The 17,026-nt window shown below is 43.2% G+C and overlaps 1 protein-coding gene and 1 pseudogene across 5 annotated transcripts in view, besides 4 other annotated features; one reads left to right on the top strand and one right to left on the bottom strand.

Annotated features, from left to right (window-relative positions):
* Positions 1-17,026, top strand: part of DNA2 (DNA replication helicase/nuclease 2) — a 58,458-nt gene that overhangs the window by 36,713 nt on the left and 4,719 nt on the right. For 4 of the 5 annotated variants that reach the window (XM_006717680.3, NM_001080449.3, XM_017015799.1 and 1 more), the window contains 9 exons: positions 3,299-3,415; positions 3,494-3,603; positions 3,838-3,947; positions 5,149-5,373; positions 12,919-13,112; positions 13,205-13,294; positions 13,380-13,584; positions 15,917-16,006; positions 16,596-16,775. In XM_006717680.3, coding sequence (XP_006717743.1) covers positions 3,299-3,415; positions 3,494-3,603; positions 3,838-3,947; positions 5,149-5,373; positions 12,919-13,112; positions 13,205-13,294; positions 13,380-13,584; positions 15,917-16,006; positions 16,596-16,775 — 1,321 coding nt within the window. Of the gene's footprint in view, positions 1-3,298; positions 3,416-3,493; positions 3,604-3,837; positions 3,953-5,148; positions 5,374-12,918; positions 13,113-13,204; positions 13,295-13,379; positions 13,585-15,916; positions 16,007-16,595; positions 16,776-17,026 lie in introns of all 5 variants that reach the window. The other variant, NR_102264.2, reaches the window with a different exon arrangement.
* Positions 2,164-2,333: an enhancer, noted in NCBI's record as "experimental_16666/16667 CRE fragment used in MPRA reporter constructs". NCBI's record gives its function as "activates a minimal promoter by MPRAs in K562 erythroleukemia cells, with activity observed for both the introgressed and non-introgressed 10:70193318 variant alleles {active_cell/tissue: K562}" and the evidence as "EXISTENCE:reporter gene assay evidence [ECO:0000049][PMID:34662402]".
* Positions 2,164-2,334: a biological region, named in NCBI's record as "Neanderthal introgressed variant-containing enhancers experimental_16661/16662 and experimental_16666/16667".
* Positions 2,165-2,334: an enhancer, noted in NCBI's record as "experimental_16661/16662 CRE fragment used in MPRA reporter constructs". NCBI's record gives its function as "activates a minimal promoter by MPRAs in K562 erythroleukemia cells, with activity observed for both the introgressed and non-introgressed 10:70193317 variant alleles {active_cell/tissue: K562}" and the evidence as "EXISTENCE:reporter gene assay evidence [ECO:0000049][PMID:34662402]".
* Positions 2,593-2,762: an enhancer, noted in NCBI's record as "experimental_16656 CRE fragment used in MPRA reporter constructs". NCBI's record gives its function as "activates a minimal promoter by MPRAs in K562 erythroleukemia cells, with activity observed for both the introgressed and non-introgressed 10:70192889 variant alleles {active_cell/tissue: K562}" and the evidence as "EXISTENCE:reporter gene assay evidence [ECO:0000049][PMID:34662402]".
* On the bottom strand, positions 10,812-11,249 carry RPL26P29 (ribosomal protein L26 pseudogene 29; annotated as a pseudogene).

Genomic DNA, 17,026 nt, shown 5'->3' with positions numbered 1-17,026 from the left:
ATAAGTATACCCATTTCAGTTACAACAAAATGGCTGATTTAAATAAAAATATATAGGCGGGGCGTGGTGGCTCACGTCTGTAATCCCAGCATTTTGGGAGGCCGAGTTGGGCGGATCACAAGGTCAGATCAAGACCATCCTGGCTAACACGATGAAACCCCGTCTCTACTAAAAATACAAAAAAATAGCTGGGCATGGTAGCGCACATGCCTATAGTCCCAGCTACTTGGGAGGCTGAGGCAGGGGAATCGCTTGAACCCGGAGGCAGAGGTTTCAGTGAGCCGAGATTGCACCACTGCCCTCCAGCCTGGGCAACAAGAGTGAGACTCTGTCTAAAAATATATATATATATGTGTATGTATATTCTACTATTAATATTTTTATTTAGGCTGGACCTTGTGAGCCACCACGCCTGGCCTAAATAAAAATATTAATAGTAGAATAATTGATAGGAAAATATGGGCAGGCAAGGTGGTGCACGCCTGTAATCCTAGCACACTGGGAGGCTGAGGTGGGTATATCGCTTGAGACCAGGAGTTTGAGACCAGCCTGGGCAACATAAGTAAAACCTCGTCTCTACCAAAAATACAAAAATTAGGAGGTGGTGCATGTCTTTAGTCCCAGGTACTGTGGAGGCCGAGGTGGGACGATCAGTTGAGCCCAGGAGGTTGAGGCTGCAGTGAGCTGAGATCACACCTCTGCACTGCATGTAGCCTGAGTGACAGAGTGAGACCCTGTCTTAAAGAAAAAAAAAAAATTGTGGCAGAGACCAATATCCATATTCACGAATAATCCATATTCCCTCCTCTTTCACAGTCAGATGGATTGTGTTTTCCAGCATTTCTTACAGTTAATACGGGCATGCCCGACCATTTCTTAATGGATAGAGGTCAGCAATTGGGACTCATTGACATCTGAGTAACTGTAATGGAAATGTCCAGGCTTGTTCCCTACTGATCAGTAATCTTAGTTGAGTCATAACCACCCCTTGTCTAGATGTCATGACATGGGATGGTGATCCACAATATTCCAGTTGTCTGCTTGGATTTGTGTATCCTTTGCAGTATTTATTTAGTGTCTACCATGTATTAAGCACTTTGCAAATCCTTGAGGAATTTATGGTCTTGCGTGTAGACATACATATTTTCTTTTTTTTTTTGACACATGGTCTCACTCCAGCCCAGGCTGGAGTACAGTGGCATGATCACAGTTCACTGCAGCCTGGACTTCCTGGGATCAAGCAGTCCTTCTACCTCAGCCTCTTGCATAGCTGGGACCACAGGTGCATGCCACCACACCTGGCTAATTTTTTAATTTTTTGTAGAGATGGGGGGGGTCTCACTACGTTGCCCAGCCTGGTCTTGAACTCATGGGCTCAAGTGATCCTCCTGCTTCAGCCTTCTGAAGTGCTAGCATTATAGGCATGAGCTACTACACCCAGCTTATTTTCAATCTGATATGTGTTCAAATTGATAGGAACACAGAGGAGAGGTATTTAATTCAATTTTAGGAGGTTCAGGGAAGGCTTTTTTTTTTTTGAGACCGTCTCACTGTTGCCCAGGCTGGAGTGCAGTAGCACGATCTCAGTTCACTGCAGCCTCTGCCTCCCAGGCTCAAGCGATTCTCCTGCCTCAGCCTCCCGAGTAGCTGGGATTATAGGCGTGTGCCACCATGCCCGACTAATTTTTATATTTTTAGTAGACGCAGGGTTTTACTATGTTGTCCAGGCTGGTCCCAAATTCCCGATCTCAAGTGATCCTCCTGCCTCAGCTTCCCAAAGTGTTGGGATTACAGGCGTGAGCCACCATGCCAGCCCAAGGGAAGCCTTTTCGAAGAGCTAATTCTGAATCTTCATCCTGTGGATTAATAAATTAGTCTGGTGAAACAGTGTGAGAAGAGAATACTATACTGGGCAAACCTGTTGCACAAACGTGTGATGTAGTGTGACATGGAGCATTCAGGATAATGCAGGTAATTACGTTATTTCTAGAATATAAAATATAAGGAAGAGAGTAATTAGATCAGGTCATAGAATGTCTTACGTATCATTTTAAAAAGTTTTCCATCCTGGGCCACATAGTGAGACCCCCATCTCTCCAAAAAATTAAAAAATTAGCCAGGTGTGGTGGTGTACACGTGTAGTCCCACCTACTCAGGGGGCTGCGGTGAGATAACAGCTTGAGCTCAGGAGTTCAAGGCTACAGTGAGCCATGATCATGCCACTGCACTCTAGCCTAGGCAACAGAACAAGGCCCTCTCTCAAAAGAAAAAAAGTTTAGATTTTATTTATTCTATTGAATAAATAGAATTGTATTGAAAGGTTTTAAACAGAAGAGTGGGTAATCATTGGATTTGCATTTTCCTCTGGCTACATTGTAGAGAATTGAGTTCATTAATGGAAGAAAAACTAAAAGCAAACCTGGAAGCTGTTGCAGTGACCCAGGCTAGAGGAAATTGAGGCAGGGTAGTGTTGGCAGAGAGAATGGAATGACTTTGAGAAGTATTTAGAAAGTAAAAGTGGCTGGCATTTGGATACTGATTGGGTGTGTGGGTTGGGGAGAGGATGAGGGAGAGGGAAGGATCAAGATGGCAGTGCAAATGCAAATGCCAATGCCATTAACTGTGATCAGGACCAGAGAAGGAGCATCAGGTTCAGCAGGGATGAGGAGGAGTTCTGCTTTGAAAGTACTGTGCTTTCACAGCCTGGGTTTAGCTAAGTGGAGAGATCTCACTGCCTACTAAATATCCAAACCCAAAGCTTGGGTGAGGAACCAGGTAGGAGAGGAGTGTGAGGTCAGGCCTAAAGATGGAATTTGGAATTTGGAGGCACGTGAGGGCCTGGGACCCTGGAGCAAACAATGAGAAAGAGTAGTACAATGAACCAGGGAAGGGACTCTAGGGAATACCAGAGCTTAAGGGACAGATAGAAGACAGGGAGAAGGTGGCAGAAAAGAAGCCTGCACTCCAGGTTAGAGGAAGGAAGAGCCATGCATTCAGGATCCCTCTGGGGATGGTGAACCCGTGTTCGACTGCAAGGGTAAATGAATTTTCAGCAAATGTTGCAGGTTCCCAATTATTAATTGCTTTGACCTTGGTGCCTTGGACCTTCCCCTTCCCTCTGCCTTTTCCCACCAATCCAGGGCCTCATGCTGTCCTTGATTGGCAAGTGTGACTGAGGGCTGGTAGCTATTTTAATAGCTATTCTGGCCCATTCATTCTTTTAGCAGATAGCAGCATATTTCTTATACAGACTATGCGAAATGGCGAGCATTCATGTATATTTGTTTTGTTGTTTTAGAAACTTGTCGGTCCTTCCAGAATCAACTTTGTTCAGATTAGACCAAGAAGAAAAAAATTGTGATATAGATACCCCATTAGGAAATCTTTCCAAATTGATGGAAAACACGTTTGTCAGGTTTGTAACAATGAGCAAATTTGAATTTCACTCCACTTTTCTAAGGAATATTACTAAAAGTGCTTTTTCACTTTTCAGCAAAAAACTTCGAGATTTAATTATTGACTTTCGTGAACCTCAGTTTATATCCTACCTTAGTTCTGTTCTTCCACATGATGCAAAGGATACAGTTGCCTGCATTCTAAAGGGTATGCTAAAATCACCATGTCTGCTTTGATTAATTTTTCTTGTTTCTATTTGATTTATACTGTAGTCTAATATCTTGATTAGACTTGCAACTACAATGTTTAGACCAAGACTCTTTGGAAATGGTTTTGTATTGAAGAATAGACTTGGATAGAGACTGCTTTTCTTATGAAATAATTAACTTTTCCTTTGAAATTCAACACTCTTTTTCCTGTTATTTTTGAATTTAAATGTAGGTTTGAATAAGCCTCAGAGGCAAGCGATGAAAAAGGTACTTCTTTCAAAAGACTACACACTCATCGTGGGTATGCCTGGGACAGGAAAAACAACTACGATATGTACTCTCGTAAGGTTATTATTCTTCTGCTTAGAGACAAAATATTTGTATCAGCTTCTCCTCAGTTCAGAGGATGTAATATTGAATATCAAAAGGGCTGAATTTTAATTCAGTGTCTTTGTTTCAAATGAACTTTTTAGAATGATGAGAAATAGTAAAGCTGAAGCACAAACAGTTGTAATCATGTAGATTTCTCGCATTTAGAATTTTCTAAGATCGCTTTCCGTTAGTGGTATGTGATATTTATCACTATATGTTTTCCTTTCCCTTTAAAGATGATGTTAGAGGCCGGGCGTTGTGGCTTACGCCTGTAATCCCAGCACTTTAGGAGGCCAAGGCGGGCGGATCACTTGAGGTCAGGAGTTCAAGACCAGCCTGGCCAACATGGTGAAACCCCCTCTCTACTAAAAATACAAAAATTAGCCGGGCGTAGTGGCATGCGCCTATAATCCTAGCTTTACTCGGGAGGCTGAGGCAGGAGAATCACTTGAACCCAGGAGGCAGAGGTTGTAGTGAGCTGAGATCACGCCATTGCATTCCAATCTGGACAACAAGAGCAAAACTCCATCCTAAAAAAAAAAGATGTTAGAGATTTTTCTTGGATTTTTTTTTTCATGTCAGTAAATTTCTTTTTTTCTTTTCTTTTTCTTTTTTTTTTTTGAGATGGAGTCTTGTTAACGTGAGCCAGGCGAGGTGGATCATGCCTGTAATCCTAGCACTTTGGGAGTCCAAGTCAGGGGGATTGGTATTTGAGACCAGGTTGGAATGCAGTGGCATGATCACAGTTCATGCAGTCTCAATCTCCTGGGCTGAAACAGTCCTCGTTCCTAAGCCTCCCAAGTAGCTGGGACCACAGGGGCGCACCACCTCATTTGGCTAATTAAAAAAAGAATTTTTTAAAAAGAGATGGCATCTCACTTTGTTGCCCAGGCAAGTCTTGAATTTCTGGGTTCAAGTGATCCACTTGCCTCAGCCTCCCAAAGTGCTGGGATTACAAGTGTGAGCCACCATGCCTGGCCTATGATGTATTATTGACATATTATTAATAACGTATAATAATGTCATGTAATTTTTGTAAAATGTTTTGGCTTCATAATTTTTACTTGGCTCAGCTCTTAGATATGGTTCTTGTTAAGTTTATAAACATGTTAAAAATTATCTGGAATTAAAAGTAAGGCTGTTTTTTCTTTTTTCTCTTACCCATTATTAGGTAAGAATTCTCTACGCCTGTGGTTTTAGCGTTTTGTTGACCAGCTATACACACTCTGCTGTTGACAATATTCTTTTGAAGTTAGCCAAGTTTAAAATAGGATTTTTGCGTTTGGGTCAGATTCAGAAGGTTCATCCAGCTATCCAGCAATTTACAGAGCAAGAAATTTGCAGATCAAAGTCCATTAAATCCTTAGCTCTTCTAGAAGAACTCTACAATAGTCAAGTAAGCACAATTATTGTATAATAATACTAACAGTTAATGTCCACAGCCAGAATGAGGGGAGAAACTGTACTCTGGGAAATTTAGTCACATTGACTGGATTTGCACATGATTAATTTATATGTACTATACGACCAGTTTATTAACTTATAGTTTGCTATTTCCTTCTGATCTGAAATAAGGTTTTGGGTTTATTATTTAGGGCTCTCTTCTAGTTTCAAATATCCTAGGAAACTACTAATAATCAGGGTTTCAGCCAGGTGCGATGGCTTACGCTTGTAATCCCAGCACTTTGGGAGGCTGAGGTGGGTGGATCATGAGGTCAAGAGTTCAAGACCAGCCTGGCCAACATGGTGAAAACCTGTCTCTACTAAAAATACAAAAAAAATTAGCCGGGCGTGGTGGTGGGCGCCTGTAATTCCAGCTACTTGGGAGGCTGAGGCACGGAGAATCGTTTGAACCTGGGAGGCGGAGGTTGCAGTGAGCAGAGATCGCGCCACTGCACTCCAGCCTAGGTGACAATGCAAGACTCCAGCTCAAAAAAAAAAAAAAAAAATCCGGGTTTTTTAGTAAGTTTGAATTAGAAACAATGGTACTTAATAGTCTTGTGATAACTATCTCTAGGCTTTTATATAGAATCTAATTTTTATTTTATTTTGTTATTTAATGTTTATTTATACTGGGAGTTCTTAACAGATTTTTTTTTCTTTTTTTTTTTTTTTTTTTTGAGATGGAGTCTTGCTCTGTCACCCAGGCTGGAGTGCAGTGGCGCGATCCTGGCTCACTGCAAGCTTCGCCTCCTGGGTTCACACCATTTTCCTGCCTCAGCCTTCCGAGTAGCTGGGACTACAGGCACCCGCCACCACGCCTGACTAATTTTTTTTTTTTTTTTTTGAGACGGAGTTTTATTCTTGTTGCCCAGGCTGGAGTGCAATGGCGCCATCTCAGCTCACAGCAGCCTCTGCCTCCCGGATTCAAGCGATTCTCCTGCTTCAGCCTCCTAAGTAGCTGGGATTACAGGCATGCCTGACCACGTCCTGCTAATTTCGTATTTTTAGTAGAGACAGGGTTTCTCCGTGTTGGTCAGGCTGGTCTCGCACTCCCAACCTCAGGTTATCCTCCTGCCTCGGCCTCCCAAAGTGCCAGGATTATAGGCGTGAACTACTGCGCCCGGCTTTTTTTTTTTTTTTTTAATTGAACCTTCCACCAAGTAGCTGGGATTATGGGCGCGGCTATAGTGCCTGGCTTAACTGATATTTTTGTCTTTAAAAAATTTCCCAAAGATTAGATTTAATAGAGTGTTCCTTTACCTCCTTTGTCTAATGCTAGCATATTTTTGTCTAATATCTGTCCCTGTTATTGATAAATTTAGAACTGGCTAAGATGTATATCTGGTTAACATTTTTATTAAATTAAACATTTTACTTTGAGGTAATTGTAGAGTCACATGCAGTTGTAAGAAATACTAGAGAGAGCCTGTGTCCCCTTTATCCAGTGGTGACATCTTGCAAGTCTGTAGTACAATGTCACACCCAGGATGTTGACATTGATACAGTCCCTATTCTATTACCACAAGATTCCTCATGTTGCACTTTTATAGTTGTATCCACTCTCCTGCCTTACCCCTCCTTAACCTCTGACAGCCATGACTCTGAGACTCTGATCTCCATTTCGATAATTTGGTCGTTCGAGAATGTTAAGTAAATGCAATAGCCTTTTGGGATTGGTGTTTTTTACTTAGCCTGATTCTCCAGAGCTTCCCCCAGATAGTTGTACGTATTAATAGTTTGTTCCTTTTTGTTGCCAAGTATTTTTCCATAGCATGGATGTACTGCATTGTGTTTAACCATTCACCCTCTGAAAATCTGGATTGTTTCCAGTTTTTGGATATTGTGAATAAAGCTGCTGTAAACAATCATGTTACAGGTTTTTGCGTAACATAAGTCTTCATTTCCCTGGGATAAATTCCCAGTAGTACAATTTCTGGATTGATTGGTAGTTGCATGTTCATTTTTTTTTTTTAATCTGCCAAACTGTTTTTCTAAGCAGGAACATTTCACGTGTATGAGTGATCTCCTCAGCATTTGGTGGCGATACAATTTTTTTTTATTTTGAGACGGAGTCTCGCTTTGTCCCCCAGGCTGGAGTGCAGTGGTGCAATCTTGGCTCACTGCAAGCTCCGCCTTCCAGCTCATGCCATTCTCCTGCCTCAGCCTCCCGAGTAGCTGGGACTACAGGCGCCTGCCACCACGCCCAGCTAATTCTTTGTATTTTTACTAGAGATGGGGTTTCATCATGTTAGCCAGGATGGTCTCAATCTCCTGACCTTGTGATCTGCCTGTCTCGGCCTCCTAAAGTGTTGGGATTACAGGCGTGAGCCACTGTGCCGGGCTTTTTTTTTTTTCTGAGATGGAGTTTGGCTCTGGCGCCCAGGCTGGAGTGCAGTGGTGCGATCTGAGCTCACTGCAACCTTTGCCTCCCAGGTTCAAGCAATTCTCCTGCCTCAGCCTCCTGAGTAGCTAGGATTACAGGCATGCGCCACCACGCCTGGCTAATTTTTTATATTTTTAGTAGTGACGAGGTTTCACCATGTTGGCCAGGCTGGTCTTGAGCTCCCGACCTCGTGATCCACCCGCCTTGGCCTCCCAAAGTGCTGGGATTAGAGGCATGAGCCACCGTGCCCAGCTGATACTATTTTTAATTTTAGCCATTTTGGTAGGTGTTTGGAGATTTTAATTTGCATTTACCCAGTTAAAATGTGTGTGTGTGTGTGTGTGTGTGTGTGTGTTTGAGACAAGGTCTTGCTCTGTTGCCCAGGCTGGAGTGCACTGGTGAGACCACGCCTCACTGCAGCCCTGACCTTCTGGGCTCAAGTGATCTTTCTGCCTCAGCCTCCTGAGTAACTAGAACTATACAGGCATGTACCACCATGCCTGCCTAATATTTTCAATTTTTTTATGTTGTCCAGGCTGGTCTTGAACTCTTGGGTTCAAATGATCCTCCCACCTCTGTCTGCCTCCCAAAGTGTTGGGATTACAGATGTGAGCCACTGCATCCAGCCATAATGTGGTGGGGTTTTTTTTTTGTTTTTGACACGTTATTGCCCAGGCTGGAGTGCAGTGGTGTGAACTCGGCTTACTGCAACCTCTGCCTCCCAGGTTCAAGTGATTCTCCTGCCTCAGCCTCCCAAGTAGCTGGGATTACAGGCATGCGCCACATATTTTTTTTTTTTAGTAGAGACGGGGTTTCACCATGTTGTCCAGGCTAGTCTCGAACTCTTGACCTCAGGTGATCCACCTGCCTCAGCCTCCCAAAGTGCTGGGATTACAGGCTTGAGCCACCACACCTGGCCCATAATGAGTTTTTCATGTGCTTATTTGTCATCTGTATCTCTTCTTCATGTTTTTGCCCATTTTGGATTATATGCTTTGTAGTGTTGAGTTTTGAGAATTTTTAAAATGTATATTCTAATACTAGCCCTTTAATGGATATGTGGTTTGCAGGTATTTTCTCCCACTCTATCGCTTGCTTTTTATCCTCCTCATAGGGTCTTATGCAGAACAAAAGATAGTTTTATTTATTTATTTATTTTATTTTTTTGAGACAGAGTCTTGCTCTGTCGCCCAGGCTGGAGTGCAGTGGCACAATCTCGGCTCACTGCAAGCTCTGCCTCCCGGGTTCACGCCATTCTCCTGCCTCAGCCTCCCAAGTAGCTGGGACCACAGGCGCCCACCACCATGCCCGGCTAATTTTTTGTATTTTTTTAGTAGAGACGGGGTTTCACCGTCTCTTAGACAGGTTGGTCTCCATCTCCTGACCTTGTGATCTGCCTGCCTTGGCCTCCCAAAGTGCTGGGATTACAGGTGTGAGCCACCACGCCCGGCCTATTTATTTATTTTTTGAGACAGACTCTCACTGTGTCACCCAGGCTGGAGTGCAGTGGTGTGATCTCCACTTACTGCAACCTCTGCCTCCCAGGTTCAAGCGATTCTCCTGCCTCAGCCTTTCAAGTAGCTGGGACTACAGGCATGAGCCACCATACCTGGCTAATTTTTGTATTTTTAATAGAGATGAGGTTTTGCTGTGTTGGCCAGGCTGGTCTCAAACTTCTGACCTCAGGTGATCCGCCCACCTCAGTCTCCCAAAGTGCTGGGATTACAGGCGTGAGCCACTGTGCCCGGCTGCAAAAGGTTTTTTTTTTTGAGGAAGTCCGGAATATACATTTTTTCCTTTTATAGATTATACTTTTGGTCTCAAGTCTAAGAACTCTGTCTAGCCCCAGATGCTGAAGGTTTTCTTTTTTGAGACAGAATCTTCCTCTGTCACCTAGGCTGGAGTGCAATGGCCCGATCTTGGCTCTCTGTAACCTCTGCCTCCTAGGTTCAGATGGTTCTCATGCCTCAGCTTCCCAAGTAGCTGGGACTACAGGCATGCACTACCATGCCTGGTTAATTTTTTGTATTTTTATTAGAGACAGGGTTTCACTGTGGTGGCCAGGCTGGTCTTGAACTCCTGGCCTCAAGTGATTCACCCATCTTGCCCTCCCAAAGTGCTGGTATTACAGGTGTGAGACACAGCGCCTGGCCTGGTATTTGTTTTTTGGGTTTTTGGGGTTTTTGTTTTTTTTTTGAATTATGAAACATTTCCCATTTTTATTTATAAAATTATTAATTAAATTTGCAAAAGTAGATTTACAGAGCCTCAGGTAACAAAACAGGAAATGAAATGTTCCAGAGATGGCCGGGCGCGGTGTCTCACGCCTGTAATCCTAGCACTTTGGGAGGCCGAGGCAGGCGGATCACGAGGTCAGGAGATGGAGACCATCCTGGCTAACACGGTGAAACGCTGTCTCTACTAAAAATACAACAAATTAGCCGGGTATGGTGGCAGGTACCTGTAGTCCCAGCTACTTGGGAGGCTGAGGCAGGAGAATGGCGTGAACCGGGGAGGCGGAGCTTGCGGTGAGCCGAGATCGCCGCCACTGTACTCCAGCCTGGGAGACAGAGCGAGACTCCATCTCAAAAAAAAAAAAAGAACACAAACATGGCCGGGCCCAGTGGCTCATGCCTGTAATCCCATCACTTTGGAACACCGAGGCGGGTGGATCACGAGGTCAGGCGTTCGAGACCAGCCTGGCCAACATAGTGAAACCCTGCCTCTACTAAAAATACAAAAAATTAGCTGGGCATGGTGTCAGGCACCTGTAATCCCAGCTACTCGGGAGGCTTAGGCAGGAGAATCGCTTGAACCTGGGAGGCGGAGGTTGCAGTGAGCCGAGATAATGCCACTGCACTCCAGCCTGGGCTACAGAGCAAGACTCTGTCTCAAAAAAAAAAAAAAAAAAAAAAAAGAAATGTTCCAGAGACATTCTGAAAAGTTCCAAAGAAACACACACTAGCCTAAAAATCTCAGTTAAACCATGGTTGCACAACAGGTTATATTTATTCCTGCATTTTCTCAATAAGTTCCTCCTTATATTTGCCTTTCTCTTTTCTGACTTGTCGAGACTTGGCTTTGTGTTCAATAATTTTTTTCCGATCCTTGTTGAGATTTAGCCTGGTGATAACCACCTTGTTTGGGTGAGTACCCACGTGGACGGTTGTGCTGTTGGCCTACTCACGCTGCACCTGCTCAGTGTAGATGACATCTTTCTTTCTGTACACCTGGACTACCTTGCCAATTTGCTGACCTTTGTAGTGTCCTTGAACTACCTGGACCTCGTCGTCCTTGCGGATGGGTGTGGAGCGGACATTGTACTTCTGCCGCAGCTCCTTGGAGAGCGGGGATGACATGATCTTCCGGTGCACGTGCAAGGGGGCATGGAAGTGACGTTTGCGGTTTTTGCTGCGGTCCAAGTTCACGAAGGGATTGAACTTCATGGTGATGCTCCGGCTAGCGGCGGCCTCAGGCCTGTTTTGTTTTTTTTTTTTTTTTTGAGACAGTGACTCACTTTGTCACCCAGGCTGGAGTTCAGTGGCATGATCAAGGCTCACTGCAGCCTCGACCTCCTTGGCTCAAGTGATCCTCCTGCCTCAGCCCTCCAAGTAGGTGGGACTATAGGTATATGCCAGCATACTCAGCTTATTTTTGTATTTTTTGTAGAGACCGGTTTTCGCTGTGTTGCTCGGGCTGGTCTCAAACTCCTGAGCTCCAGCAATCTGCCCACCTTGGCCTCCCAAAGTGTTGGGATTACAGGCGTGAGCCACTGTACCTGGCCCAGTTATCATATTTTTAGTTCTAAAATTTCCATTTTATTCTTTCTATCTTCTATTTCTTGGCTGAGACTTTGTTTTTTGGTTCATATTCAAGCGTGTTCATAATTACTCATTAAATGTTGTTACCGTGGCTGCTTTAAAATCTTGGTCAGATAGTTCTGACCTCTCTGTCATTCTGGTGTTGGCATTTATAGATTGTCATCTGTTTTCATTGAGTTTGAGATTTTCCTGGTTCGTCTTTAATTATTGATTTTTTTATTGAAACATGAGCATATTTTGTTGTTACTGAAAACTTCTGTTTTAGCTGGCTTCCTCTCACACTGCCATGGTAGGGGAAGAGGGGTACCACCTCATTCCTGCCAGGTGGGAGTCGAAGTGTGGGTTCCCCACTCAGCCTTCTTTGACCAAAGTGGGAGGTTCCTCGTTACCGCTGGGCCCACTTGGTTGGGGTGGAAGTCTAGGCTTCTGATGTGGTCTCTACTAACATGTGGGGTTGGTGCCAGTTACCAGTCATCGGGGATGAAAGACCTGACTCCCTACTTGGCTTTCTCTGACACCCGCCTGGTGGGGTGTGGGGCACCTTGTTACAGCCTTGAGAAGGGCAGAGATCTACCCTCCTCCCTGTTTGCTGGTGTCTGTGGTTGTGGGGCTGTACTTTTTTTCCAGTGATATTTGGCTAGAGTAGTTATTGTGTGAAAGTTTTCTGTCTAGCTAGGCTTTCCTTTTCCTGTTCCTTCAGCTGGAGAGAGCAGACTTTGGTTGCAGCTGTTTTTAGCACCCACTGGTGTGCCGTGGCTCCTTCAGTTCCAAATCTGGGATCTATGAGGCAAAAAGAAAGCCCAGGGAATCAACTACTGTGTTGTTTCTTTGGTCCTGAGCTCCCTAGCTGGTCTGCCTTCTCTCCACCTTTCAGAGTCTTCTTTTGTTTTTTTTTTTTATATATAATGCCTAGGGATTTTAGTTGTCGTTTGTGGAAAGAATAAGGAAAAGTACTCCATCTTCCCAGAAGCAAAGTCCTGGTTGACATTAAACAAACAAACAAACAAACAAAAAAAGAACTAACTTATTACCTCTTGAATGTTCCAGATTTCCACTGGGAAATATCCAAATGTGAGCATTGTTCAATAGTGTCTGGAAAGTTTACTTGATTATTTTTAATTTGTAGAAAAAAATTAAAATTTGCATGCTATAAATATTTCAGAATTAAATAATATCGAAGGATTCCTGATGCCATAGAACAAAAACCTTTTGATCTTTTCATTTCAAAAATGAGAGAAACAAAACTACATTTCTTTTACATGTTAAATAACTGATCTGTTTTCCTTGTTTTTAGCTTATAGTTGCAACAACATGTATGGGAATAAACCATCCAATATTTTCCCGTAAAATTTTTGATTTTTGTATTGTGGATGAAGCCTCTCAAATTAGCCAACCAATTTGTCTGGGCCCCCTTTTTTTTTCACGGAGATTTGTGTTAGTGGGGGACCATCAGCAGCTTCCTCCCCTGGTGCTAAACCGTGAAGCAAGGTAGGCAGACACTTAAGTGTTAATTTTAAACTAGATTATTTTCAAGGAACAGATTTAGTACACTGATAAACATGAATCTGATTTATTGACAGAGCTCTTGGCATGAGTGAAAGCTTATTCAAGAGGCTGGAGCAGAATAAGAGTGCTGTTGTACAGTTAACCGTGCAGTACAGAATGAACAGGTATTTGTAACAGTGTTAGCTAGGAGTGGTTTTCATGTTTGTTTCCATCTACCAAAACTAAAGTTATCTTTTGTAATTCCCTTAGTAAAATTATGTCCTTAAGTAATAAGCTGACCTATGAGGGCAAGCTGGAGTGTGGATCAGACAAAGTGGCCAATGCAGTGATAAACCTACGTCACTTTAAAGATGTGAAGCTGGAACTGGAATTTTATGCTGACTATTCTGATAATCCTTGGTTGATGGGAGTATTTGAACCCAACAATCCTGTTTGTTTCCTTAATACAGACAAGGTAAAAAAAAAAATTTCTGTTTAGTTTTTCTCATTTTGTCCTATTATTTAAATTTCTCAGTTTTCATTAGCACATGCCCTAATTAGAGCTTATCAGTTAAAAGGCAAAACTAGGCTGGGCGTGGTGGCTCACACCTGTAATCCCAGCACTTTGCGAGGCCAAGGCGGGCAGATCACAAGGTCAGGAATTCAAGACCAGCTTGGCCAACATGGTGAAACCCTGTCTCTACTAAAAATATAAAAAGTAGCTGGGCATGATGGTGGGTGCCTGTAATCCCAGCTACTCAGGAGGCTGAGGCATGAGAATTGCTTCAGCCCGGGAGGCGGAGGTTACAGTGAGCTGAGATCACACTGCTGCACTCCAGCCTGGGTGACAGAGCAAGACTCCCATCTTGGGGGGAAAAAAAAAGGCAAAACTAATGTACTTCTCATACTTCAACCCAAAATAGTCTTTTCTTTCTTTTTCCTTTCTTTTTCTTTTTTTGAGACGGAGTCTTGCTCTGTTGCCCAAGTGGCATGATCTCGGCTCACTGCAACTTCCTCCTCCCAGATTCAAGCGATTCTCCTGCCTCAGCCACCCAAGTAGCTGGGATTACAGGCACCCACCACCACACCAGACTAATTTTGTATTTTTAGTAGAGACAGGCTTTCACCATGTTGGCCAGGCTGGTCTTGAACTCCTGGCTTCAAATGATCCGCCTGCTTCAGCCTCCCAGAGTGCTGGGATTATAGTGTGAGCCACTGTGCCCGGCCCAAAATAGTCTTTCTTTCTATAGGCCCAGTATTTTTTGGAGGAGGTTTATTCTGGAGGTCAGTAGATATCAAAATTGACTTTTGAAGAAGGAAGGCCACAAAGTGAACTCAGGGGTATAATTCTATTTCCTAGAAAAGGAAATGGCACTGATACTATCAAAGGGCTGGGTTTACAAATGGACAGAGGGTATAATAAATTGATGTCCTTTTAAAGACTTTTTAAAAAACAGACTTTAAACCCGGGCACAGTGGCTCACTCCTGTAATCCCAGTACTTTGGGAGGCCGAGGGGGGTGGATCACTGGGGTCAGGAGTTCGAGACCAGCCTGACCAACATGGCAAAACCCTGTCTCTACTAAAAATGCAAAACTTAACTGGGTGTGGTGGTGCGCCTGTAGTCCCAGCTACCTGGGAGGCTGAGGCAGGAGAATCGCTTGAACCTGGGAGGCGGAGGTTGCGGTGAGCCGAGATCGCGCCACTGCACTCCAACCTGGGTGACAGAGTGAAACTCCATCTCAAAAAAAAAAAAAGCTTTATTTTTTAGAGCAGTTTTAGGTTCATAGCAAAATTATGTGGAAAGTACAGAGGTTTCTCATAACCTCCCTCCCCCACATATGCACATGAAGACCTTTTTACAAACCAGTCATTAAAAAGAAATCTGCACAACGACTTTTTTGTTTTTGTTTTTGTTTTTTAGGATGGAGTCTTGCTCTGTCTCCCAGGCTGGAGTGCAGTGGTGCAATCTCCTGGTGTCTCAGAAAAAAAAAAAAAAAATCAAGATTGCTTAGGGATGATGTAGGAGGAAAGTAGTCTTTGAAGAGATGTATCAGGAGGTAGGACAGCAGTTTTATCTGCTCCATTATTTGTATAAAAGGGGACAAGAAAATGGAAAGAGCACAGATATACGACCCAGATCTAAGTTTGTTTGTTTGATTCTGAGACGGAGTCTCACTCTGACTCCCAGGCTGGAGTGCAATGACACTGTGTCAGCTCACTGCAACCTCCGACTCCCAGATTCAAGCAATTCTCCTTCCTCAGCCTCCTGAGTAGCTAGGATTACAGGCACGCACCACCACGCCCAGCTAATTTTTGTATTTTTAGTAGAGACGGGGTTTCACTGTGTTGGCCAGGCTGGTCTCCAACTCCTGACCTTGTGATCCGCCTGCCTCAGCCTCCCAAAGTGCTGGGATTACAGGCGTGAGCCACCGCGCCCGGCCACCCTAAGTTCAAATAGTAGTGCCACAGTTTATTGTGAGGCCTTGGGAAAGTTACTTATTCTTTTCTGCCTTTGATTCCTGTAAAATGGGGGATAACAAAGTGAAGTATTTGAAGCTCAGTGTGTGATCAGCTTTCGTAGGTATTTTAGCCTCAATCATAGCATGTTTCAGATAGGTGGCCTCTGCGTGGCTTTCTGAAAGTGACTAATATTAATATTCATTTTTGTTGATTCTTTCACCTTCATCTTTTAGACAAAGCTATTTTTCATCTCCAAGTCGGTAGTATAGTCTTTATGGCCAGTTGCGTACTTATAGTACTCTTTAGAGATTGTATTATCAGCAGGCTGTATATTTTTCCACTTAGGTTCCAGCGCCAGAACAAGTTGAAAAAGGTGGTGTGAGCAATGTAACAGAAGCCAAACTCATAGTTTTCCTAACCTCCATTTTTGTTAAGGTAATTTAGAATTTTCAAGGCTAGCAAATATTAAAGTGCAGAATAAAAGAATGTTAGACTGTAAGACACTTACAATCTGGCATTAAGTCTCGTTTATTAAGATAAGGGGGGGATTGAAGCCCCATTGTTTTTATTTTGAGAAAATGTATCTAAGACATGTAATATTTTATAATGACATTTGGAGTTTTCATTTACGATAATAACTTTTTGTAATGTCAGCTAATTCTAATTGAGACAATACTATGTTGTAGTGATTAGGAATTGGAAATTTTTCTGTGAAAGAAATAGCAGAAGGTGAAATGTATTTCTTTGTACTGTGTGTGTGTGTGTGTGCACTGTTTTAGTAGCATATAATCCTTTACGTTCTCATGAAACTAAAAATTAAGGGAGCAATGTCTAAGGAATTATTTCATCCTGGGAAATATGGACAGATTTAGAGCAAATTCAGTAATTGTATTCAGTCTTTGAGATAGGAAAGTTTGTTATAAACATCAGTTGGGCACATAATGTAAACATTTAATTATTAAATTCAGAAAAGTTTAACTTAATCAGGATTTCTTTCTTTTAAATTGTGTCTTTTTCTATTTAGGCTGGATGCAGTCCCTCTGATATTGGTATTATTGCACCGTACAGGCAGCAATTAAAGATCATCAATGATTTATTGGCACGTTCTATTGGGATGGTCGAAGTTAATACAGTAGACAAATACCAAGGAAGGGACAAAAGTATTGTCCTAGTATCTTTTGTTAGAAGTAATAAGGATGGAACTGTGAGTTAATTGTGTTTGCTACTGATTCATTTGGGGCATTTCTCTCTCTTTAAAAATTGTGGGCCGGGCGCGGTGGCTCACACCTGTAATCCCAGCCCCCTGGGAGGCCAAGGCGGGTGGATCACCTGAGGTCAGGAGTTTGAGACCAGCCTGGACAGCATGGCGAAACCCTGTCTCTACTAAAAATACAAAAATTAGCCGGGCGTGGTGGCAGGCGCCTGTAATCCCAGCTACTTGGGAGGCTGAGGTAG

The sequence above is a fragment of the Homo sapiens genome, chromosome 10 (genome assembly GCF_000001405.40).
Source record: "Homo sapiens chromosome 10, GRCh38.p14 Primary Assembly".
In the NCBI taxonomy this organism is placed as follows: Eukaryota; Metazoa; Chordata; class Mammalia; order Primates; family Hominidae; genus Homo; species Homo sapiens.
The sequence above is the reverse complement of the archived record's forward strand: the minus strand, read 5'-3'. Positions and strand labels throughout refer to the sequence as shown.